Source organism: Homo sapiens, chromosome 21 (genome assembly GCF_000001405.40).
Source record: "Homo sapiens chromosome 21, GRCh38.p14 Primary Assembly".
In the NCBI taxonomy this organism is placed as follows: domain Eukaryota; kingdom Metazoa; phylum Chordata; class Mammalia; order Primates; family Hominidae; genus Homo; species Homo sapiens.
Genome location: NC_000021.9, coordinates 45,076,541 through 45,101,915, shown reverse-complemented (window position 1 = coordinate 45,101,915; position 25,375 = coordinate 45,076,541). Strand labels below are relative to the sequence as shown.

At 45.8% G+C, this 25,375-nt stretch overlaps 1 protein-coding gene across 11 annotated transcripts in view, besides 1 other annotated feature; it reads right to left on the bottom strand.

The window, feature by feature from the left end:
- The window catches only part of ADARB1 (adenosine deaminase RNA specific B1), a 151,986-nt gene that overhangs the window by 124,648 nt on the left and 1,963 nt on the right, over nt 1-25,375 (bottom strand). The window lies entirely within an intron of this gene.
- Nucleotides 8,034-8,534: an enhancer, noted in NCBI's record as "H3K4me1 hESC enhancer chr21:46513297-46513797 (GRCh37/hg19 assembly coordinates)". NCBI's record gives its function as "activates a minimal SCP1, AML or CMV promoter by ChIP-STARR-seq in primed H9 embryonic stem cells {active_cell/tissue: H9 hESC(primed)}" and the evidence as "EXISTENCE:reporter gene assay evidence [ECO:0000049][PMID:30033119]".

The following is a 25,375-nucleotide window of genomic DNA, read 5'->3' as shown; positions in this document are numbered from 1 at the left end:
ACCCTGTCCCAAATAAATAAATAAGCACAAAATATGTTCACTTTAAAATAAACCATGTCTGGCAAAAGTATGTCCACCACTGTAACTACTGACCCCTTACACAATTTTAAGCAGCACTCATCTCCCACGTAATAGTCAGCAAGACTGGTGTGCTAACATACCCAGCATTCAAAAACTCCAAAAGCTTGTGTATTAAGTATACACTATCCAGAAAATTTCACATGCTTTCTGCTTCAGGAAAGAAATATTAAAGCTCTACGATGGTGAAGTTCATTACAATTTCCAAAAGCAAAAGGATCACTGATTACTTAAGAAGCAACGCTTCCTTTAAACTCCAGTACAGGAGGTAAATGTTAAACGCTAGCAAATCTTTTGAGAAGCATTAAAAAAGGTTTTCGTTACATCACAGGTATACTTAATCATAACGTCAAAGCCTCTAAAACAAAAACTCTGTGCACGCACTTCAGGAGTTTTTCCCACGTGCCGCGAAAGAAGGGAGCCTAGGTGTCTGGAGAGATCCTCTGCACCCAGCACTCGGCGACTGGCAGCGGGCATTTCAGCACCTGCTAAAGCCCGCTGGGCAGCTTGGCAGCGCCAGGCGCGGGGCTGCGGGGACACGGCCCGCCCGCGCGCAGGGCACAGCGAGCACGTGAGCGCAGAGCCAGCTCCGGAGCGCTACGGCGCGCGTGGCGGCACACCTGCTCCCCGAGGCTGATCGTTAACAGCCGTGGGCAGGGGTTGGGCCAGGGTACAGCTGTCAGGACCTCACTGGACAGGACCGGAGAGGACCCCGCGTAACCGCGGAACAGACACTCCCGGCAGCGGCCGCCGCCGCGGCACTGCTACGGGACGAGCCGGAGCGCTTGGCCATGGCGGCCCGATCCGCACTGGCGCTGCTGCTGCTGCTGCCAGTCCTGCTCCTGCCGGTGCAGAGCCGCTCAGAGCCCGAGACCACCGCGCCCACCCCTACCCCAATCCCGGGTGGCAACTCGTCAGTGAGCAGGCCCCTGCCCAGCATCGAGCTCCACGCCTGCGGCCCATACCCCAAACCAGGCCTGCTCATCCTGCTGGCCCCGCTGGCCCTGTGGCCCATTCTCCTGTAGGGACGCCCAGCCAGCCACCTCTAAGTCGCCGCTGGGACTGGCCTGCCCCATTGAGCAACAGAGACGCTTGACAGCCGCCCGCCTCCATTCCTTGACTTCACCCAGAAATGGGTCCAGAAAACTGAATCCCACCAGCACTGGTTTGGAGCAACCGGACACCGAGGTTTCACCTCCAGGGATTCCATGAAGAGCCTCAATGGAGATGCCACATCCTACTGAGTTAAAGATGGGCTGAGGAACTTGGGTACCCACAAGTCTGCCTTGGGAATCAAAAGAAAATATTTACCTTTAGTTTGGTTCATTAAATGCATGAAGTCAAAATATGACCAGGTAGTGTGCGAGGCCTCCTTGTTCTGGGTAGAGCTGGGAAGGGCAGGGATGGCAAGCGCTCCCTAAGTCTGCCACCTGTAGCCTTGCAGAGTTCTCTAGGAAATGCACTGCTGCTCTGGTGTTCAGTGCAATGCAGTATTTGACTTGGGAACAGTGACTGACGGGGGCCAGTGCAAGCCTAGTTAGTAAGCCCAGCCTGTCTACTCCACTCTCACCCACACATCCCCATTCTTCCAAAGAACCTTGTAGCTATCATTTCAACCTAGTTCCAAAGAGCAGACATACATAATCTCACATAACCTGCAATGCTGCTTTTTAAATTTCTGTATATGTTGAATAATTTTTACAAGTTAAAAGTGACCTTTTTAAACATATATTTTTAAATCTTTAACACGGGGGGAGAAAAAGGAAAGTTTTGGAAAGGGAAGACTAGAAGCTTGGCTGGTTCAGTTCACACAAGTTTTACACTATTTCTATCCATGTGTTATCTTTATAAATCCACATTTGGAATACTTCCCATATAAATATCTTTAGATAGAAACTGAGACTAAGCCTTGAGTAGCTTCTGGAAAGTAACCCCAACACCACCACCAAGTTGCACACACACCAATGTCCAGCATCTAGGAGGGCTTCAGGGCCCCCACAGCCCAAGACGTGCCAGCCCAAGAGAGCACTCCCAGAAACTCCAGATCCAGCCAGCCTCAGAACAGCATGTGAACACTTCACACGGGCTTACTGTGCATGTTTTGGATTGAGCCTTGTGTTCAGTAATTATGCTTGGATTTACATAACTTAAAATGACATATTTTAACATAAATTGTAAATTTTTATTTTTTATTTTTTTGAGACAGAGTCTCGCTCTGTCACCCAGGCTGGAGTGGTCCCCTCCCAAGGTTCAAGTGATTCTCATGTATCAGCCTCCTGCTCGCTGGGATCACAGGTGTGCGCCACCACACCCAGCTAATTTTTTTTGTACTTTTAGTAGAGATAGGGTTTCACCATGTTGGCCAGGCTGGTCTCAAACTCCTGACCTCAAGTGATCCACCCGCCTCGGCCTCCCAAAGCGCTGGGATTACAGGCGTGAGCCACCCACCGCGCCCAGCCTGTAAATTATTTTTTTAAAAAGGCTTGCAGAGCAATCCGAAGACCCTAATTTAACAGGCTGTATACTAGGCACTGAAGGATGATCAACTATAGCTTCATTAAAGGAATAATGAAATTGCTGCTCTCCCACAGGAAATTACAGTTCCCCGGTCACCAGCCCTACCACCACCCCCTCCTCAAGGAGAAATGTGGAATCAACAACCCTTAAGAGAAATCCTGAGAGGGAAGACATGCGTGAAAATCCCATTCAGGCTATGATCCACGGCTAAATTTCAGTCCCAAGCATCTATCACATGTCACCTCTAAAGCGCCATCTGTCTGCTGGTAACACTACTACTGAAGCATTTGCTCTGCTGAGGGAAAACAATATGCTCCTATATTAGGGGTCATTTCTGCTCTACAGGGAAGAAGGACTCTGTCTGGCCTTATAAACCTAGAATACTAAGAATAACCTGACCCCCAATTCTGAGGCAGAGGCAGTGAGCTCAGGTCAAGGATAAGCTCTGACAGTTGTCCAGTCAATGCCAGAGAAGTCTCTCTCCTAAAAGAGAAACACACACAAATATACACAAGATTGAAGGCTGAGGAAAGTGCTCGAAAGGAGGCTAAGAGCATATGTGTGCAAATAGCCCAAAGAGAACAGCCTCCAGCTCCTGCCTAGCACTCGCCATCCCCCACACTGCCACGAACACTTTACCTAATCATGTAATCCTCACGGGAATGAGGCAGGTTTGAGTGTCCCCATTTTGCACATAGGGAAACTGAGGCCCAGCACTGCAGCTAGGAAGAGGCAGGGTGGGGATGATTCAAACTCAACAGTTTTGTTCCAGGGGCCAGGCACCCTCCACTGAGAACCTAGAGGATGCCTCCATAAACAGGCAGGTCAGGACGGGATGGGAGACAACGGTCATATAATGAGCTGGGGCAGAAGGGGCCGTCAGCAGAGGAAGAGCACAGATGGAAAGCCACCAGCTGGGAATAAGCAAAGCCCAGGCAAGAAACTTCTAGGAAGCTGTGAGCAGCCCCTAGACAGAGACGGGGAGAGTGGTCCAAGGGAGGAGGCCATGGGCCTGCAGCAGACCTGGGAGAGTGCTCCAAGGGATCTGGAGACAGATGGGAGCCGGGTCAAGCACAGCCGTGGGGTGAGGAGGAAGTCACAGTTGTATTCCAGATGCCCTGGTGGGTCCGTGGAGCCTGCAAGCACAGGGCAGGAATGACTTGCCAGCTGCTGGACAGCAGGGAGACGTGGAAAGGCAAGCACCCGGGTGGGAAGCGAACGCAGGGACAGCAGGCACAAATGTTTGAGGGGACTGGGTGTGACGGTGAGGGAAAGCGAGGTGGCTAGGATGACTGCCAGGTTTCCAGCAGCTGGGTGGGTGTTGGTGACGTTCACTGTAAGGAGAAAGGCTAGGAAATTTAGGAAAATGAAGCTCTGGTTTCAGATGTTCATTTTGTGACACCTGTGTGACATCAGTGGGGAGCAGGGCGAGGCTGCCTAGCAGGCTGGGCCAGAGGACCACATGGAGCTCAGGTTGAAAGGCAAAGGCACTCTCCTTTTCCTTTAGGGAGCAGCGGTTTGTCTCTGGAATTGCTTCCACCCAATGGCCTCCCTGACAGCTCCCCTTGAGTGCCCCCAAGTCAGCATACCCAAACAGACCTGCTAGTCTACCCTCCCCATCACCACAGTGGGCTCCCTCCCAGCTGTCCAGTCATAGGCACTGCCTTCCACCTTGCCACATGGCCAGCACCCAGGCATCCTCAGAACCTTGCACATGTGTCTGAAGTCCCCACCAGCCATGCTCCATCACTCCTGCCTGGACAGCGGCCCCTCGGCGTCTGCTCTCCACCTGTTCTCCTGCCACAGGGACCCTTCCACGGCACAACTCTGAGTTCATGCCCCCAACCACAATGGCTTCCCACCTCCAGAAAAAAAAAAAAAAATCATGATTCTCTACCATGGCCAACGCCTTATACTTTGTACCACATCACACAGGGCCTCGGTATCTCCTGACTAGTTTTCAAATTGGGAGTGAGCACCAATCCAGTAGCCCGAAAATCATGTTAGCCTCCCTCATTTGCACACCAGGCTTCCCCAAAGCTCATAAGCTTAGTTTTTCCAGCATTTGCTCTTTTGTCCTGTTACCAAAGAGAAGGTATGTGACCATCTCACAGTGGAAAATACTCTCCTTAAAGAATGGAAAGGGCCAACCCCACCCATCTCGTACCTAAAGGGTGCTGCTGAGGAAGGAGGGGAACTACATCTAGTTCCCAGCAGAAAACAAGAAAAAGAAACCGGACTTGAAGAGGAAGCTACTTGAGAACATTTAAAAAGAGGAGAAAGGCTGGGCGCAGTGGCTCACACCTGTAATCCTAGCACTTTGGGAGGCCAAGGTGGGTGGATCACAAGGTCAGGAGATCGAGACCATCCTGACTAACACGGTGAAACCCCGTCTCTACTAAAAATACAAAAAATTAGCCGGGCGTGGTGGCAGGCGCCTGTGGTTCCAGCTACTCAGGAGGCTGAGGCAGGAGAATGGTGTGAACCCGGGAGGCAGAGCTGGCAGTGCCACTGCACCGCCTGGGCGACAGAGACAGACTCTGTCTCAAAAAAATAAAATAAAAATAAAGAGAGGAGAAAATTCCTCCCGAAGCCCAAGCTGGCTTCCCCAGAGGTTCCCTCATCTCTCAGGAGCACTTCTGGGTGACAATGATGGGTTCTTTCTATAGTATGATCGCCCCTAGGAACGACCAGGGAGGCCTCGAGGAAGTACATGGGGACAAGAGCAGTTCCTTCTGGAGGGAAGGCTCACCAGAAACAAATCCAGAGATAGAAACACTAAAGGGAAAGGAGAGTGGATGATGAAGGGGGAGCACTGGGGCTGTCCCTCCAACAGCCTCAGGGCAGGGCAGTGTTGAGGACACAGGCCCACAGCAGCCAGCCCAGACCTGCAGGAAGACAGGCAGGGCCGGCACAGCTGGTGCAGGGAGCGAGACTGCCCAGCTTCCAGACTTCCAACAGGAGATATGCAAAACCCTTCCTCAGAGCAGAGGGGGCACTTGTCCCTTGCGCTTCTGTTCCCTGTGGACAGAATCCAACTCACGCACTCTTTCCTGCAGAAGGAGGCATCTAGAAGGAGGAAATGGGCTGCTTAGCCCAGCCGGTCCTCCTCTCCTCTTGGGCTAGGCGCACCCACACCAAAGTGCTAGGGTTTCTTCTCCTGCCACGTGGAAGGGGCTTGCCCCCAGCCATGCTCGTTACTAGGTGGGAAGTTTGTCTAATTTGGGATAAAGGATTAGCAAACCCGCTTGGCCAGTCAGCCACTTTCTCCAGTTGCTTTTATCTAAAACAGAGCCTGTATCTGATCTCCACTTGCCTATCTACAGTGTGTGCGGCTCTCTCAACTGGTCTGGAATTTGAGAGGGTAAAAAGTGGGTGCTAAATATAAAGCCCCAACAGCCCCACTTTTTAGGCCTCCCTCAGTCAGGAACCAGGACTTACAGCCTACAGCTCCTTGTTGATCTGGCTGTGGGAGACCCTTACTCACAGAGCCTTATTTTCTCGAGCACAGACCCTGCCCCAGGCATCTGGGCAACCAGAGGTAGCCGTGTAATACTCTTCCAGCCAATGAGAGACACTGGGTTTCCTGAACTCCTTATCGCTTTCCTGATGCAGAGACACCCCTTCCTGCCTCACCACCTCTCAGCTGGAACGTCAGGCTGGAGACATGACCCAAGGAGCCAAGCCCGAGAAGGAAACGTGCACCCTGAAACAGCGGGATGCAGAACCCTGAAACAGCGGGATGCAGAACCCTGAAACAGCAGGATGCAGAACCCTGAAACAGCGGGATGGAGAGACAGAAGCCTCGGGAAACGTGGACGACAATGTGAGGCCCCTGTCCCAGCCCCACACCACTGGGGGAAGAGCTAACAGAAAAAGGGGGCAGAGAAAAAACACTGGGTTGAGTTCCAGGCAATGGTCACTGCAGGAAGCTGAAAGGGGGCAGGATGGACAGGAGCCTGGGGAGGGGATCCAGAGCTCAAGCAGGTCTGTGCTGCACTGTGTCAGAGCTCACGGCAAAGGCCGGAGCATCACACGCAGAGCAAGCAGGGAGCGCAGCCTGGGCTGGGGGCAGGTAGGCTGCACCTGCAGGGCTCCTGGTGACTGGGGGACCTGCACAGAAGACTGAGCCAGAAGGATGCCAGGGTGGCACTGCCCACGGAATCCAAGAGGTTGGCTAGTTCTGTACAGTCCTGTTGAGACACTGATTGAGACCAGGACGAAATACAGGCCACTGACCTTAACAAGAGACAGATCATTAGTGACTAGCAAGACCCATTTCAGAGGGATGGAAGGCCAAAACTTGAACAGAACAGACTGAAATGTCAAGGAAGTCGTGATAGTGGAGAAGGTGCCCAGCACATGGGCAGCAGAATGAGGCTGCCAGCTTTGGGCAAGGAGACTGAGTGCAAACCTCGCCTCTCAGTGAGCGTCCAGGCCCCTCGGCTGATGGAGGTCCTCAATTGGTCTTCCTTCATCACAGTTATGACTTTACATCTGCTTGTGTGAGTACTTGATATACAGACATCTGCATCACTAGAAATTTCCATGAAAGCAAGGACCATGTCTCATTTGCCCCCCTCTCTCCCCTCAACATGATGCGAGAGGTTGGATGGGAGGACAGGAAGGGCAGCTGTGTGGACAGGAAGCCCACCAGGTCAGCTGTGTGAGGAAGCAGTCTGGGGCCTCAGCAGGGCCCACGTGCAGGGCCGTAGAAACCTTGAGAGCAGAAACACAAGCAGACATAGTGCTCGGGGCTGCTTCCATGTACAGAGGATGTTCCCTGATCTGGCGGGGCGCCTGGCAGCACGTGAGTGAGGCTGATGGTAGTGGTGCCAAAACAACCAAATGTATCTCCCCAAAACCTATCATTCAAAAGTATCCTAGGGGATTAATCAAAAACTCTCAAAAATTTTACTTGAAGATTTTCCAGTTTAAAGGTAATTTCAGGCAATAAACTAGTATTGGGTCCAAAATGAGCTGACAGTACCTGGGAAGCCACACTACTGCTTGATAAAGACACGGACCAACAGCCTCACAGAGGTTATCAGTGAGGGATCTTGAACAGAGCTCTAATTGGGTACACGCTAATTGCTTTAACAGACAACTGCTTGCAGAGTTGGAAAAAATGCTTTTGAATGTTTCTGAACAAATAATTTGATATATTCTATTTCTCAAAAGACCCTCACTTTTTAAACACAAAGTCATCAAAAAACCATCTTATGAAAGAGAACATTAAATATAACATTAAGATCAAGAAACTATCTTTTAAAATCCTGTAAATAAAAAAAGTTATAATCAGGATGGGCAGACAAATAATTGGATCAATCACAATCACCTCAATCAATGACTAACAAATCACCAGTAAAAACGAAGTGCTAAAAAGCGAGTTATTTAATTTTATTTTTTCAGACACTTCTCTGAGGAGCCCCCATGTGCTGTGCAGGGTCGAAAAACCCAATCCTAATGTACTTAAAAGGGCAGATGAGAGACATTTGCCTGAAATTAAAACATAAAGTAATTCTGTTCTGGGACTTTATCTGAAAATCCAGAAGAAGCCCTTGGCCGGAAGCATCAGCCTCCAGGGCCTCTTCACCCTGACATTCCTGAGGCTGCAGCACAGTCTCCCCATACCCCTGGTGAGGAGCCCCCTGGAGAAAAGATGCACCCATGCCTCCTCCGGGCACACAGTCAAAGGGCCTCTTCCTGAGAGAAGAGGACAGAACTTCCCAACACCCCGAACCTTCACTCCAAACAGGGTAAGACCTAGTTCCAGAGTCACAGCATGAAACGCAAGAGGCGGCAGAAAAACCCACAAGTCAGAGAACAGCAGCTGTGTGGCCCAGAGGGCTCGGCACCCACAGAAAGCCGGGTCCTCTCTTCCTCTTGTCAAGGACGTCAGGCAGAGGCCTGTGGAAACCTGCCAATGGGAGCAGTCGCCAGACCTAGAAGAGCCAAGCCCGGTGTGCCCTCGCCTGGAGTTGTGAGAAAAGTCCCTGTAGCCCCAGATCTAGGGCCTCCAACACTCTCCTACCCGAGACTCCTACCCGAGGCTGCCCTGGGAACTGGTGAGAAAAGCCAAAGTGCACCCCAGCAAAGTGCCTGGATCAGTCCAGTTCCTGAAGCCAAGTGCCGGTGGGGCGAGGTCCAGGCACAGAATGGGCAGTGGCCATGCTGCTTCCTTCCTGGGGAGGCTGCTTATTTCAGAGACTAATTTCCTGGTTTTCACTGTGCCTATTGTGTGAATATTTGGGGGTGGGGTGGGGTATAAGCTGAGACTCATCAGAAGGGTTTCAGGGCCTAGTAACAGATTACCCTGTTGGCTATAGAAATGGGACTGAGATAGCCTCGACTTTAGAAAATGGAACATGATACTAGTTTTGACATCTTTAAGACTTGGGCTCCATCAAGAAAAAAAAAAATTAAAGGTACAAAAATGTGTGATAATGAATTACTCCTATTTTACAGGAATGGGAGGCTTGATTTATAAAATAGTTTTTTAAATTATTATTCAGGTAAAGGGTTAGATTTAAGCTATAAAGAGCTTGACTGGTTTTCCTCTGCCTTGTCTGCTCTGTTTTGGAATAATCCCTAATATTGTTCATTACTTCAAAATTTACAGAAAGATGTTTTTGTTTTTCCTGTGTCATACTATTAGTATCAGTCTAGTCAAGTGACTTGTAAATACCAATAAATAGAATGTATCCATTTTTAAAAATCCAACAGGAGAACAATAATAAGGAAAAAGTTAACTTTTGACTAAAGCCGAATTCCTGATTCTAAGATTTAAAGGTCACCTACCAGGATTAAGATTTGGTCCTCACAACTGTTACCTGAAGGTAAGAGTAAATTCCAATGGTATAACTATATAAAAAAAATAGATAACAGATATTTCCATAAAAATTGTTTATGTTCATTTTTAAAATCTCTCTCATCAAACAGTTGTAATGCAGTAGAGAGAATGAGAAGAGAGAGAGGTCAGAAAGTCACCCAGTAAACAAAAGGACCACAGATTTTTCTCCATCCTCAACAGAGATTCCAGTTGATGAAGAAGGCTGCCATGCAGGCTCAGGGCAAGGAAAGGGAATGTGCTGCTAGCACTGGACCTCAGCTCCGGGCAAGGCTGCACCTTCTGAACCGACGGCCCAGGAGCGAAGTGACCCATACTTCCTCCAAAGCATCACTCTCCAGACATGGTAATCCAGGCCCAGAAGCAAAGGTCAGTCCCACTGTGCCTGTCACACACTCTGCTCCTCTACACCCTCCTCTAGGAAATGAAAGAGGAAGGATGTTGATCTCTAGGGTCTTTTAAATTGTTCCAAATAAATAAAATAGAATTATTTTCTCTTACTAAAAATAAAACACTGATTTTCATATTAAAGACAAATTAATTTTGCAAAGGATTAAAAAAGCAGAAATCCAAATCAGTTTAGCAGAAAGATGAACAGATGGATTTCTGAGGTCCACTGGCCTGCATCCAAATTTCGCAGCCTAGCCCACGGTTAAACTCGATCTGGAGTCTTCCAGCTCCTCCTCCTACAGGGAAACCCCCACTCTCCCTGGACTGTGGTCCACAGGAGAACAAGGAGCTCTACTCCACAGGACACCAGAGCATGAGCAAACATGTGGCAATGCTGTAGGATGCTGGTGACCAGGATCCTGCCCCTGGGAGCCACTAAGCTGCCAGAAGACACAGTCACCCAGGCAAGGCTGTGAATAGCACCCCATATCCCTATTGCTCTCCCTCTGAGCCATAGACAGAGATCATGCTGGTGGGGAATAAGGTCTCATGATGTCCAGAACTATAGCAGAAAACTGTAAGCTGATCTCCTGCTCCTCATTAAGTGATGACAGTTCACACAACACAAAAAGTGCCATTTCACCAAACTGTAGTATTACAACACTTTCATCATTAACCTTTCTAAAGTAAAAATCATCAGATTCAAGTCTTCTGTTTTTTCATCATAAGAATTCAATAAAAGCAGAAATAATTATATAAGCAGTTAAGCCAAACGTCAACTAGCATTGAAGCAGTGGAAGAAATCGGATTGATTTAGAGTTGATTTAAGATAATACCAGGGGCAAAGACAAGTGGATGTCTGAGTTAGGGGAAAATTGGCAAGGACGGTCAAATAGAAAAAACACGTGACTTAAAGACATAGCAGAACATATGCTCTGTGAAGAAAGGGACTGAGTTATTTCATTCACTGCTAAACCTTTGGTATCCAAAGTGCTCAAAAAATATTTATTCAATGACTGCATAAACACATGAATGAAAAATGTCAGTTTATATGAAGTTGATGAACTTCATGAATATAACATGGCAGCAATGCCCAACATTTAAGAAAGGTTATCACAGAACCTACATTGTTTAATAAAGCCAGTGCCACAATAATAATCAGATGCTCAATTTTTCAATAAAAATCATTACAAACCCTGCATTTCGCTATCTACAAATGAGGTGGCCAAGGCAGTTCTTGGGGGGAAAACGTAGAGCTGCATGTGCACAGAAGAGAAAACAAGGATGACGTGAAAATAAACAAGGTATTCAATCCCCAAGTGAGAACAAAGGTGGAGAGAGGTCAGAACCGGGGTCCTCCTGGGGAGGGTAGGAGTGCTGAGCTGCACAGGTACCAGGAAGCCTCCGGGTTGATCCCAGTGATGGTTGTGTGAGTGCACACAGATATGAGAGTCACCAGGCTGCACACTCAGGCCCCACTGGTATACTTATACCTGTTCATGAGAGAAGACTGTCACATTTTCAGGAATTTTGTAAACCAGTTGACAGCTCATCGGTAGCTTGAAATAGGGCACGGTAGGGACATTTATAACTTGGAAATTGGCAAATGCTACAAATCAGGGGTTTCCATACACTCCCACTCCTCCTTCCCACCAAAAGCCAGGTGTTAAGCACTTATACCACTATGTAGCTACTACAGCATGTAAACTACATGAAAAAAATGAAAAGACTAGGGGTAGGGCTGGGGAGAGACTCATTTTGAAAAAATAGAAGGTATTAAAATAAATAGCAATTTTAATTTTGCACTGTGTTAAAAACAGGATTTTCCCCAGAATGCAGGAATGTTTAATATCAGGAAATCTATTAATGAAATTTGCTATATTAACAGACTGGAGGGAAAACCACGTGATCATTTCAACAGACGCACATATGGTAAAATTCTACTGCCACTCATGATAAAGATTATTTTGGACAAACCAGGAAGAGAAGGTAACATGCTAGACAAGATAAAGGGTATGTACAAAACAACTAGAGTAATGTCACACTTAAGGATGAAATACTGGAAGCATTCACGTCAAAGACAACAACGAGATGCAGCCTGCTAGCCATCACTATGATCCAAACACTACACTCAGCACAGTACCAGAAGTCCTAGCCAATTAATACAGGGGAAGTACAAAGCTTAGAAAGGAAGACGCATGTTCCCAAAAGGATCCTCCATCTAGAAAACATGAGACACAAATGACAAGCTGTGGACACAACATACAAAAACCAATCACTTTATCACACAAGAATAATAAGCAATTTGAAATATCATTGAAAGAAAACATTTAGTAGTGATAAAGGTGATATTTCTGATAACTGGGCAAAGGGCAGACTACTCAATGACAAAGGCAAATGATTAGCCAATTGAAAAAATATCCCAACTTCAAACTGTACAAAAACAAATTTCATATAGATCAATATGCTAAATGTGAAAAACAAAATATAAAACTATTAGAAGAAATTAAAGAAAAATATGAGTATTGTAGTAGGGAAAGTATTCTTAGGATTCAAAACCCAAAAGCCATAAAGGAAAAAAACTGATAAATTTGACTATATTTAAAATTTCTTTTTAGAAAAAAAAAATCGACCAAATCCAAAGACCAAGATAAACCAGGTAAACAGCTTCACATGGGAAGAAACAGAGACAGGGGCTGGTCCTGCCATTTCTGCCATTCTCCCATCATATTCTGCCATGGGTTTCTTTTTCAACTTTTTATGTTGAAATTTTAGGCTTATGGGAAGGCTGAAAAATAGTACAGATAATTCCCCTATGTCCTTCTCCCAGCTTCCTCTAAAATCATAGATTTGTAAGTTGTGAGCATGAGGAGAAGTATGTATCAATCACAGACCTGTATGTTGTGAGCTGGGAGAAGGATATATCGAAATCAGAAAATAAACACTGGCACAATACAATTGGCTACACCACAGACCTCATCTGAATTTCGGTGGTTTCTCCACCAATACCGGCTTCTGTTCCAGGATTCTGCCCAGAATCACAGGCCACAGTTAGTCATCAGGTCTCTAAGCTTAGACCAATCCTCGGTGTTTCCAGTGTTCATGACCTGGACACTTCTGAGGAACACTGATGAGGTGAGGTATTTTGCAGGACGTCCCTCTACTGGAGCGTCTGACATTTCTCCATGACTAGACTGTGATTGTGCATTTGTGGCAGGAGTCCCTGACAGAGCACATGCCATGTGGTGTGGGGCGGCATATGATGCAACTTGTCTCATCAGATGATGCTGATCTTGATCGCCCAGGTGACGTGGTGTCTGCTGGCTTCCTCCATTCTAAAGTTACTATTTTTCCCTTTTTAATAAATAAATAACTTGAGGAAGAGATACTTCGAGACTAGGCAAATATCCTGTTTCTCTCCAAACTCTGGCCCACTAATCAGCATCCTCCCGCGGAACTCACCTGAAGTAACTATTTCCATAGTGCCGCCTGAAGGCGATTTTCTATTTTCTCACTGCTCCTACACCAATTAATTGGAATGTTTCTGTCAGGAAGAGATGTCCCTTCTCCTTATTTTTTCAATTTCTTCTTATATCAATATAAGAAGTATCAGTAGTGATACTGACTTTGTTTTATAGATTATACACCTATACTATCATTACTCATTTCCTTGCTCAAATTGACCCGCTTTGGCCATGGGGCTCCTCCAGGTTGCTTATGTGCCCTCTGACACACCCCATCCATTTTGGCCACTTCCTTATTTCCAGCATCATCAGAGGTTCCAGACTCATCTTCTGCAAGGAGCCCTGCTTATTTTTATCAGCAACTGATATTTAGGTGTGCTCCCTGTTGCTGGAGGTCATTGCTTCTAGGTCTTCCCAACGGACAAGGCTAGGAGATGCATATGTAGGTGTATCACTAACCCATGCATGTAACGCGTACACCTATGTTTACTCCTGTGCTGTACATGCATCTATTAAAGACCACAGAGTCACACTGACACCTATCCCAATCCAACAGCACGGCCTCCCTCTGCCATCTTCCTTTTGCTATTTGTAACTTCTTCCTGGGACAGTGAGAAACCTGGCTCTCATTATCCACTACGATTCTGCTTATTTGTTCAATCCCCACATACACATAAAGTCGTTTCACATTGCTCACCATTAACACTGAGAAAAAAATTTACTACTATTTTGTACAGTTCTCTTCAGCCTCACAGAATCCAGTCAACATTATCATTTTCCCAAATAAGGTTAACACTTTCCTTTCCACCCCCTTTGCTGTGGCCCTGCCGCTTTGTACTACAGTGAGATGTGTGTTTTCCGCTTATATTTCATTTTGGGTCCCCCACATCCTGGCTGATATTAACCATCTATTTTACTTTGGAGTATATGAAGTATTGCTGTGGTTTCAAGAGCTGGGCCACACTAAAAGGTGTACTGAGAGCAGCACTGCACCCCACCTATGACCTGGCACCCACTCCACTTCCCTGCCCCCTCGCCCTCTGCACCCCACCTATGACCTGGCACCCACTCCTCCTCCGTCCCCTGGCCCTCTGCAGTCACCATCTCTTTTGTTTCTGGCTCTGCCCTCCTGTATCTCCTCTGCACAAGTGTGCAGGGAGCGTGTGTCTTCCTGCATCCCCTTCTTCTCACATCAAGGGCAGCATTTAGATGTTCTTTGGTACTTGCCTCATTCACATCCACGTGCCCTGGAAACCACCTCAAACCAATTCACAGAGGTCATCCTCAACAGTGGATGTGGTTGTGTGGCTGTACTAGAGTTTACTCAACCCTCTCCTGCATATGGATATTTAGGTTATTCCGAATGTATTTTCACATTGTTGGAGGTCTATCTTCTGGAAGGATTCCTAGAAGCAGAATTGCTGGGTCAAAGGGTAAGTGTTTCTGTGGTGTTGTAGGCTGAATGTGGTTTTAATATGCCCAACCGTACTTCACCGACTTCCTCTTCTGATAAGTGGGGGGAAAACATCAAACACCCGGTAAGAACTCATCTGCTGAGGACCTAATAGTGTGCACAACACAGGTGGTCAGCTTAAGAAATGCTAATAGCTTCTGCTCGACATTATAACCATATTTCATCCTATAGTAGGCTCATACAATTCAAGAAGCACAATGCACATCACAGAGACAGACTTCAAGAGCAAGCCAAATAAATGGCCCTTGCTAGCATTATCAGTATCAAACAAAGGCTTCTGTCTTAAACTCCATTTCGAAGCTCCTACGAACTCCTAGGAATCTACCTATGACAAATGAAAATACACATCCACACGCAGACATGCTTGCTAATGTTCAAAGTCACGTGATTCATAATAGCCAGAATGCAGAAACAACCCAAAGTCCATCGCTGGAGTGGAATAAACGAACACGCTACGCCAATACGACTAAAAGGAACAAATTACTGATATGTTCTACAACACACGGATGAACCCGAAAAACATGTTAAGTGAAAGCCTGATGCAAACGATGACACAGGACATGAGCTGCTTCCCATGAAATATCTGCAAGGCACATGTGGAAACAGCAGGCAGGCTGCCTGAGCGGTTGCCTGAGGCTGGGCTGGGTGCGCGAATCAACTGCAGACAAGCACAGGGAACATTTGAGGTGACAGGAGTGTTCAAGAACTAGACAGTGGTGATGTCTGCACAACTCAGACATTCAGAAAATCACTGAATTGTCCTCTTAGAGAGGGTGCATTTCATGGCAGCTGTTTAAAACAAAACAAAACCGCCTCAAAATGCCTTTCCTATGGTTTATTTTCTCCCCGTATTTTCCCAGAGCATTCTAAAAAGGTGAAGACTCAAAGCATTATTTGATCATAACTTGCAATTTGCATTGTTTCCTTCAACAATCAATAAGCCCAGGAAATCATCTAGACAAATTCTCAATGCAGTGTGAAAAGGCACACAGGGCAGGTCTTCTGTCCAACAGCACCGCCCTATCCCGGCTTCACACATAGCAAGCAGTGTCTGGCAAATCAAAGCCTGCCTTTTCCATTCTACACCGTAGCTCAAAATCATTGTCCAGGAAAGGAAAAAACCTTCCTTTTCCTACAGCAAGGGCTTCCAGCAATAAACAGAACTAAAATCTATCAGGCACTTCTTGCCTGTGCCACACATAACACGTGCCTATGGCTGATTCGTGCATGGAGAATTCAAGGTGAGCTGCACGGGAGGCTCTATGTCAGTTCTGCGTGAGAGGCACATGCTCAATGACGTCCTTTAGGTTCATGTGACACCAGCCTTTTCTGTGTCAACAGAATCAATTCCTCACAGTTTCATTAGAGGGATAAAATTAAAGAATTGAAAGCTTCACTATGTAACAAGATAAATATGTCACTCATTCACCTGCATGTGGGTGAAAACATCTACTACGTGACAACAAAAAGTGCAGAGGGAAAAAATTCCAGAGTAGAAGTTAGAAGATGTCACTTTTAACCCTGCTCTGCTCCTGGGTACATACATACATAGTATGTAAAGGACTCAAATTCAAAATGACCAAGACTAATAAATATGCATTTGATGTGACTACTTTCATTCATATCGAGAATGGAGTAGACGTAAAGAGTCCAATCATTGCTGTTTAACTGCAGCCACGGCGCTGAAGTTTCTGGAAACTGTAACCTCTGTTTAAATCGACTTCACACTATTTATGCTTAGGTCTAAACCAAGTGAAATGTGTAGATTAACACTAAGTAGTAAGTGTTTTCCACCATTCTTCATGTAGAGGTCAGAGGTCACGTCTGTAGCTCCCCAGCATCTTTTGAATCTCCTCTCTCTACCTGGGGATATCCCTAAGACAAAAGCCAGAATTCTATTTCCTGTTCTCACAGCCAGGGTGCACTCGGCCAGTCAGATGAACCAACACGAAACCTCACCTCAAATGATAGAAATTTGAGGGAGCAGGTCCCTAGTGGAAACTATTCCTGAAAAGGGAAAACAATGACACAAGAGAGGGCTTGGGGATGCAGCAGCTGGCAGAGGGCCCACCAGCGGCATCCGGCAGCCCAGGCTCACTGCACATGATCCCAGGGTAACCAGGTACTGTGTCTGACTCCAGAAGCCCGGGCTCACTGCACATGGTCCCAGGGTAACCCAGTATTGTGTCTGACTCCAGAGCCTCACGAAGACTACGAGAAGCCACTTTACATTCTTGAAAAGATTCCTTTTTTCAAGGAAATCAACTCACTCTAAGTGACTTAACACTGGGTGGGTTGGACACCTTGTGCCCAACTGTTACTAATCAAAGAAAAAGAAACAAAACTGGGCTTATGTGCACTGCCATAAGTAAACACACAGGAATAAAATGCAACTTTCCAACTTACTCTCCAGCCTGACTGATATATATGTTAAAGACCTCCACTTCTAACTTTGTAATTTTAGAAGTGAGGGTTAATGAAATATTAACTACTACTGAATTACCTCTGGTGGCTTATGATAAACTCTGGACTTACAGAAGTGAAAAACAACCCCTGCTCAATTTAATTCAAGACAACTAACACAGTCTAGTCCCCCTAAGACTGAGGAAACAGAGAAAGGGATCAATTCTAATCCCCTGGAGTTTCACGTTTTCTCTTGGACTCTGAATCCATCATTCCACCTCTCTCAATCCTGCCTCCTAAGCCCGCTTAACCCCTAAGGCCTAGGCCCTCCCTTCCTATACCTCACCTCTTTCCACAGTTACTGAGTCAAAAGAAGGGACAGGACTCTCTGCCAAGTGCCAGCCTCGCGTGAGCCTCGGCAGCCATGGCAGGAAGTGACGTAGCACCACCTACCATTAGACAGGACTACACATAGGTTCTATGATGAGTATTTATTGGACAACTGAATGAATGATTATTTGACTCTGACTTACAATAGTCTTCCAGAAATGGAGAGAACCTCGGCAACAAGCAATTCAACTGCCCTCATTCTACATCCAAGGAGCCTGCAGCAGAGGCATGAAGAGAATGCACCATCCTGTTCAGAAGCAGGGCTGGGATTACAATCCTGATCTCCCAAATTCTGGGACACTTTCCTGTTTGCTCCTTCACCAAAAACAGCTTATAAGAGATGCTTTTTTGGCCAGGTGCAATGGCTCCGCCTGTAATCCCAGCATTTTGGGAGGCCGAGGCAATTGGATCCCTTGAGTCCAGGAGCTCGAGACCAGCCTGGGCAACACGGTAAAACCCCGTCTCTACAAAAAATACAAAAATTAGCCGGGTGTGGTGGCATCCACCTGTAGCCCCAGCTACCTGGGAGGCTGAGACTGAGGCGGGAGGATCGCTTGAACCCAGGAGGTTGTGGCTACAGTGAGCTATGATTGTACCACTGTACTCTAGCCTGAGCAACAAAGCAAGACGCTGTCGCAAAAAAACAAAAAAGATGTGTAATTCCTTTAAGCCTCCACAGTTGAATCAAATGTATTTTTTCATTTTATTTGGCTGCCTTTTCCTGAATCCTCCCAGAATTATTCGAAATATTCTTGTTTCTGTCAAGATGTAGTTATAAGTATTATTTCAGAGAATGCATTTCAACTGTATCTTGTCCAAAAGGGGTTAAAATGATGCTGGCAGGACAGAGCTACTTTTCCAGGATGTGGCCTCCCTGTTTTCAACAGATAATTTACTATGTCAAACTTTATGGTTTTATAACAATTTTGAATGTTTTATAAATGTTTCTATTCTACATAGAAAAGTGTGGAAATCTGGAGATAACACAGACATATGGGGCATAAATATATGACTGATTCACCAAGTACAATAGGATGGGGGGGCAGTGTAGGGAGGCAGCAAAAGCATACGTTTTCAGAAGCAGATAAACTTAATGCAGGTTCTACTACTTACTACCAACAGAAAAAGTAAGTTAAAGTTATTCTCTCCTTCAGCAAAGGCTTACAAGTGTCTATCTACCAGGCATTGCTCCGAGCCCTCAGGACAGATTCAGAGCAATAGCCCTGCCTTCCTGAGGCTTTCATTCTGGCCAGGCAGGCTGTGTGGGGAGGAAGGTAGTGGTGGGTACAGATGGCAGAAATAAACAGAACAGTGAGCAGGGCACGCAGCACACAATGGTGCATGAACACTGAAGTGAGGGCTAGCTATAGGCCCCAAGACAGCTGGAGCCAGGGCTCTGAGTGGCAGGAAGGGACAGCAGGAAAGAAGGCCGCAGGGGGACTCTGAGCAGGAGAATGACGTGATGTCTTCCATGTACAGGCTCAGATCCGACTGCTGGTCAAGAACAGACTGAAGGAGACCAGAAGTGGAAGAAGAGATCTGTTAGGAGGCTACTCAGGTAAGCCAGGCCAGTGTTATCAGTAAAAAGGGATGATGACAGTGACCCTTAATAGCAACATCCTAAGATCATCATGAGGATTAAACTAGATTAAACTCACTTTACCATGTCTGACACATGGTAAGAGCTTAATAAATGTTAAACATTATCCAGCTTTCCTAGGAAGTCACTGAGCCCCTTAGCATCAGTTTTCTGATCTGATAAATAGGGGTAATGAGACCTCCTACAAGAATGTCATGAGAGGAATAACTGACTTAATTACAAGGACCCTGAAGAAGAGCCAGTTCTACCTAATAAAAGTTTAAATGCACGTGTCTGTGTTTTACAAACAATGCATTACAAATTTTGTAGGCCGTGGGAAGGTACAGACAGACGCTGGCTTACAACAGTCTGACTTATGATTTTTTTACTTTATGATGGTGTGAAAGTGATACATATTTAATAGAAAGTGTACTTTGAATTTTGAAGGTTAGGTGTATTAAATGCATTTTCAACTGACAATATATTTAAGTTATGAACCTCATCGTAAGTTGAGAGGTATCTATACAAACAAATATTCTGCTAGTCACATATTAGATGACAACTGCTTTGCAGACTCAAACAGAACCCAATACAAAATGAGGTCTCTAGTTGAAGACTCCTAACCTGAGATCCTCTGGAACGTGGCATCATCACATCATCACCATCCAAAGAGCTCCAAGAGCCCTTCTTGGTCCCTCCACTTCCCTTGTCTCCAAGACCTGATCTATTGCCCACAACCAAGAATTCACACCTGCTCTCTTTTCTCCAGTTCTGCCACCTCTGCCCCGCTAAATCATGGCAACAGTGCCAACCCAGGCCTCCATTCTTCCTGTTGCACTCTTGAGAGTCTGCAGGACCTGGCCCCTGTGTCTCTGCAGCCTCACCTCCTAGCCCCTGACTGGACAATGGTTCTGGTCCTATCCTGGCCACTCTAATAAGCAGGCTCTCTGGCAGGCTATCCTTCTAGCCAGAAGGCTGTTGTCCCCCCTCCTGACATGAGCTCATGCTTTCCCTCTGGGCCTCAGCGTACCACATCGCACTCAGAGAGGCCTTCCCAGAACATCATACCTCCACCAGGAGCCACCCTCTTGATGCCATCTACCTCAGCCCTGTCTCCTCGGTCATGCCAATAAAGACAGCACAGGTGCTCCTTGACTGACGGTGGAGTTCCGATCCTATGAACCCATCGCAAGTTGAAGACATCCTAACCTGAAAAAGCATTCAATACACCTACCCTACCAAACATCAAAGCTTAGCCTAGCCTACCTAAAAGGTGCTCAGAACACTCACATTAGCCTACAATTGAACAAAATCATCTAATACAAAGCCTATTTTATAACAAAGTACTTAATATCGCATGCAATTTATTGAATGCTATGCCAAAAGTGAAAAACAGAATGACTGTATGGGTACCACAGTCAAGTCAAAAATTGTTACTGGAACCATCATAAGCCGGGTCCGTGTGTAGTTGTGAGGCACGGTGTCTGCCTCTGTGATCTGTTTAGTTTCTCCACCAGAATGTCAGTTCAAAGAAGCACAGACCTCCTCCCTGTCCTTCTCCACCGCATCCTCCCACGATGACTCACACAGAGCAGGCACTCAGGAAAGCCTGCCCTGAGAGAAAAGAGCAAAGGGAAAATGTTTCCACAGCAGTGGGAACTACTCTCCACTGCACAGATGATGGAGAGAATGCAAGGAAGCTGGGGAAGGCTTCTTCACATTTCATCGCATTGGCTGAACTACTGAGAAGATGGGTGTTCTGAAACTCCAAACCTGAAAAAATCAAATAATCACAAAAACAAATCAAAACTCATGCAATTAAGATATTTTACCAAGTTAACAGGCAACTGTGTTTCACTGAATGCTGCTGACCCAGTGGAACATAAACATATACATGCAACAGGCCCAAAGCAACAATACCTGCTTTCCTCTGGGGGTAGGGTTGGTGAGGGAGTCGTCTTAAATGCAAAACTGAAATTCCCAGCTAGGCAAATCAAGCACAAATCAGGCACCGAGTCTTCTAGTCCTCTGAGTACTGAATTTGGTGAATAAAGGTGCCAACCTCCAGGTAACAATACTTTTAGAGAAAAGTGAATTTTTTAAATAAATAAAAAATTCCATTTCCACATGTATCTTTCCGTAAGTACGCCCCATGGCATGTTCAGCACAAGCTGGTAAGAAGCTGGATCCTGAGTCCTAGGGTGAGATTCCGAACTTTTTAGGACTGAGGACAAAACCATGATTTATTTCCTATCCTCCTTTCAAAAGGGCAGCATGTCTTGAGGAATATTTCTGAGTCCAGGCTCCCACGTGCAGAAGTCCTGCCTCCCTCCTGAAGTCCCGCCTCCCTTCTAGAGCTGAGCATCCCTGCTCTTCCTGCCTCCCTCTCACCTTCTCAAGGACTTGGCTCCAACATTATCCTCTTTCCTGGCATATTATAAATGTTTCCCTCTACTGGATCATTCCTATTAGCTCATAACATGCTATCATCGCTCTCATTTAAAAATACAACTAAAAACTTCCTGTACCCATGTCCCCTCCAGCCACCATCCCATGACTCTTCCCTTTTAACAGAACTCCTCTAGAGAGTCGTCTACACTGATGTTCCCACCTCTACTCTATTTGTTTCCTCTCCCCACCACTCCAAACCTATCAAGGTCACTCACAACCACCTCTTATCAAAGCCAATAGGAAACTCTCCAGCCCACGAAGAATAAGAAGAAAAGAACCCCTCGGTGTCTTGGTTTCCAGGCCACTAGACTCTCACTAGTTTCTTCCTTCTTCAAACAGAGTCCTTTTCAATGGCGTTGCTAGACCCTCCCTCCCAATGTGGACCGCTTGCCAAAAGCTCCCAGGCCATTCCTCATCTCCTGCTCCTCTGTATCCATACTGTATGCCTCATAGATCAGCAATATGCAAATGACTCCCAAATTTACATATTTGGCCCCAACCTCTTCTTGAACCTGACCTTGAATTTCCATCCATATTCACCTTTCTCTACTCAGATAACTAATCATAAAAATAATAAGCAAAGTAAGCCCCATTAAATACTGTTAGTCAGGTACTATTTTAGGTACTTTACATTAGCAACTCAACAACCCTGACAAGTTGCTTTTATTCTTCCTAATTTATAGATGAGAAAACTGAAGCACAGAGATTAGACTGCTTGCTCAAGATCATCTAGGAAGTAGCTGCACAATGACCCAACCCTCGTCCTCCAGATCTGGCCCTTGAGTGGAGCTGCTGAGCTGGGCTGCCTTCCAGTCACAAGCTCCACATGTTCAAATCCCAACACTGGCTCTTCCCAGACTTCCCTATCTCATACCTGGCACCAACGCCAAGTCAAAAGCTGAGTTGGAAGAATCAGATTCTAGATGTGAAGAAATTTCAGAATTACTTTATTTTACTTGTATTTTCCTTTTTTATGAAAGTGCATGAATTATATGATTTTAAAAGTCAATGCTTAGTCTAAGCTCTTTCAATGAGTATAAATGAATGCTGGGTAACAAGAAAGCATTGTGTCACAATCTAGTTGGCTACATTTTCCCTTTGTTAGCAGCATAAGAAATGATGATGCAACTTAAAAATGATGGCATCTTACAAATGCTGAAATTCAGTAGGCTGAATCTGATCTCACCACTTCCGCCCTGGTCTGAGGTGCCGGTACAGTCACCCAGCTTTCACAAAAGTCTAACTGATCTCCTTGCTGATATTCCTCCTCCAGTCTGCAGTAGTGGAGGTGCAAAAAGCAAGCTGCAGTAAGGAGGTAAGGGTACATCCTGCCATTGCCACTTCCTGTGTGACCTTGGGTAAATCACTTAACCACTCTGTGCCTAGGTATTCCCCCCTGTAACATGGGAATAATGATAATAATGCCTACTTTTTGGACTGTCATAAGAATAAATGAATTAATATATGTAAAGCTCTTAAAACAGCCTGGCATATTGTAAGCCCAACAGCCAGAGTGGTACTTTTTAAAGATAAATCAGATCATGTCATTCGCAAGGAAGGAAGAAAGGCTCCCTTAAGGCTTCCCATCAAACTTAAAATCTAAATTCCTTACCACAGCCTGTGTGCTCCAAGATGCAGCTCTCCTCCACTCCCATCTCACTTCCTACCACTCGCCCAGCCTCTCTGGCAGCAATGGCCTCCCTGAGGTGACCACCATACTACAAGGAGGCTCAGGGACTTTCACCCGAGAGTTCCCTGTGCCTGAGAGGCTGCTGCTGCCGTGACCTCAGCCCAGCTCACTCCATCCTCACCACCTATTTGACCTTCTCTCACCTACCCTGCCTCATTTGCCCTTTGAAGCAGTTAGGACACCAAATGCTTGTTTACTGCTCTCCTCCTTCCCAAGAAAATGAACCGCTTGAGGGCAGGAACTCTCCTCATCAGGCTCATCCTGAATCTCCAATACCTAGAACAGTACCTGGGCCAGGATGCATGGGTGAATGCCTGTTGGATGAACAAGCAAATGAAATGGAACCAGGTTCCAAAATCACCAAACTAGAAGCAAGTAGAGCTTCCATTTCACTGTACTTCCAATAAAAATACAAGGTATCTCAGAGTTACTTTCATCCCCCTTCCTGTTCCATCACAAAGACGTTAAACCTAAAACCAAAGTCACTTTTCTTTGTGTACGCCTAGGACATCTTATAGGCATACAGGTGGAAAAGTGCAGCAAGCAGTACTAATCAAACTACCAAAAAAAAAAAATTGTGATAATTTGATATTAATGGCCCTAGCCCAACAGCTGTCAAGCTATGGATGAAGCAAAACTCTGCAAATGGAAGGTGCGGTAAGCCCTGCCACGAAGACCTCTGTGGGCTACTGCGCTGTCCCTGTCCACACCCCAGATAAAAAGCTGTCAACTTGGAAAGAAAAGTCACTCAAGGAATAAGGAAGGAATCTTAATGATTTCACTGGACAATTTTTAATTTTCCCATTTGCTTTTCCTACCTCACATATTATGAACATACAAAATAATATGGGTTTTTTTTTAACACCATTTCCATCACACCAAATTACAGATTTAGAAATTCCTATTTTAGAAAGTTGACACAGAAAACCACTGAGTTTTCTTTTTCTTTTCTTTTTTTTTTTTTAGACGGCGTCTCGCTCTGTTGCCCAGGCTGGAGTGCAATGGCACGGTCTCAGCTCATTGCAAGCTCCGCCTCCTGGGTTCACGCCATTTTCCTGCCTCAGCCTCCCAAGTAGCTGGGACTACAGGCGCCCACCACCATGCCCGGCTGATTTTTTATATTTTTTTAGTAGAGACGGGTTTTCACCGTGTTAGCAAGGATGGTCTCGATCTCCTGACCTCGTGATCTACCCGCCTCGGCCTCCCAAAGTGCTGGGATTACAGGCGTGAGCCACCGCGCCCGGCCACCATTGAGTTTTCTAATAAAATTGGACCTCTCTGAGCTTTTTGGTTTCAAACTAAGCTTGATAACTTTGCTAAACTTTTTTATAGGCTGGTAAATGTGTAACTTCATCTATTTCTTTCCAAAGTTAACTACCTCCTATTTGAATTATATTGTTTGATCACAGAGCTAATCACAGCATTCAAGGGAATAAAACCCAGTTCTTAAGTAAAACTTACAGCTAAGAAATTTTGATAATAACTAATTAGTAGGCTTTGCTTGTACCCACGTGTAAGAATATGCACTATAGCAAGGTTTGTCATATATTAAAACATATACAATACACACTTTGACTCCTGCTAGGACAATACACAATTGGGTGCAGCCTTTGAACCAAGTGCCCAGGGATGGAGTGGAATGAGGCTTTACCTTTCTGTAGGTACTGTGTGCTTGCTTATCTTTTTAAATCTATCAATACAAATGTACTGCTTTATGCCAGAAGCATTTTTGATCTCTACCTATCTTGTTAAGTACTGTATCTCCTAGGGCCTAAAACAGGGAAGGCCTAGCACATAACAGGCCACAGACAAGTATTTGTCAAATGGATTAAGTTTGTTTTATGCATTCACTGGACAAATAGAAGTTAAAAAAATTCTTATTCCAAAAATCTAAAAGAATTCAAATGTTTTACAATACATAAATTCACGAGGAAGTGAAATTAGCCTCTGAGCCAAGATGTTTTTTGTGGATGATGTTATCACTTCATAGCTAATCCTTCCCCCTTGGCCTCCCAGTAACAACTGCATGAGCACGTCACACCAGAGACACATGTGTCATCAATTTCTCAGAGCTGGATCGATTATTTTT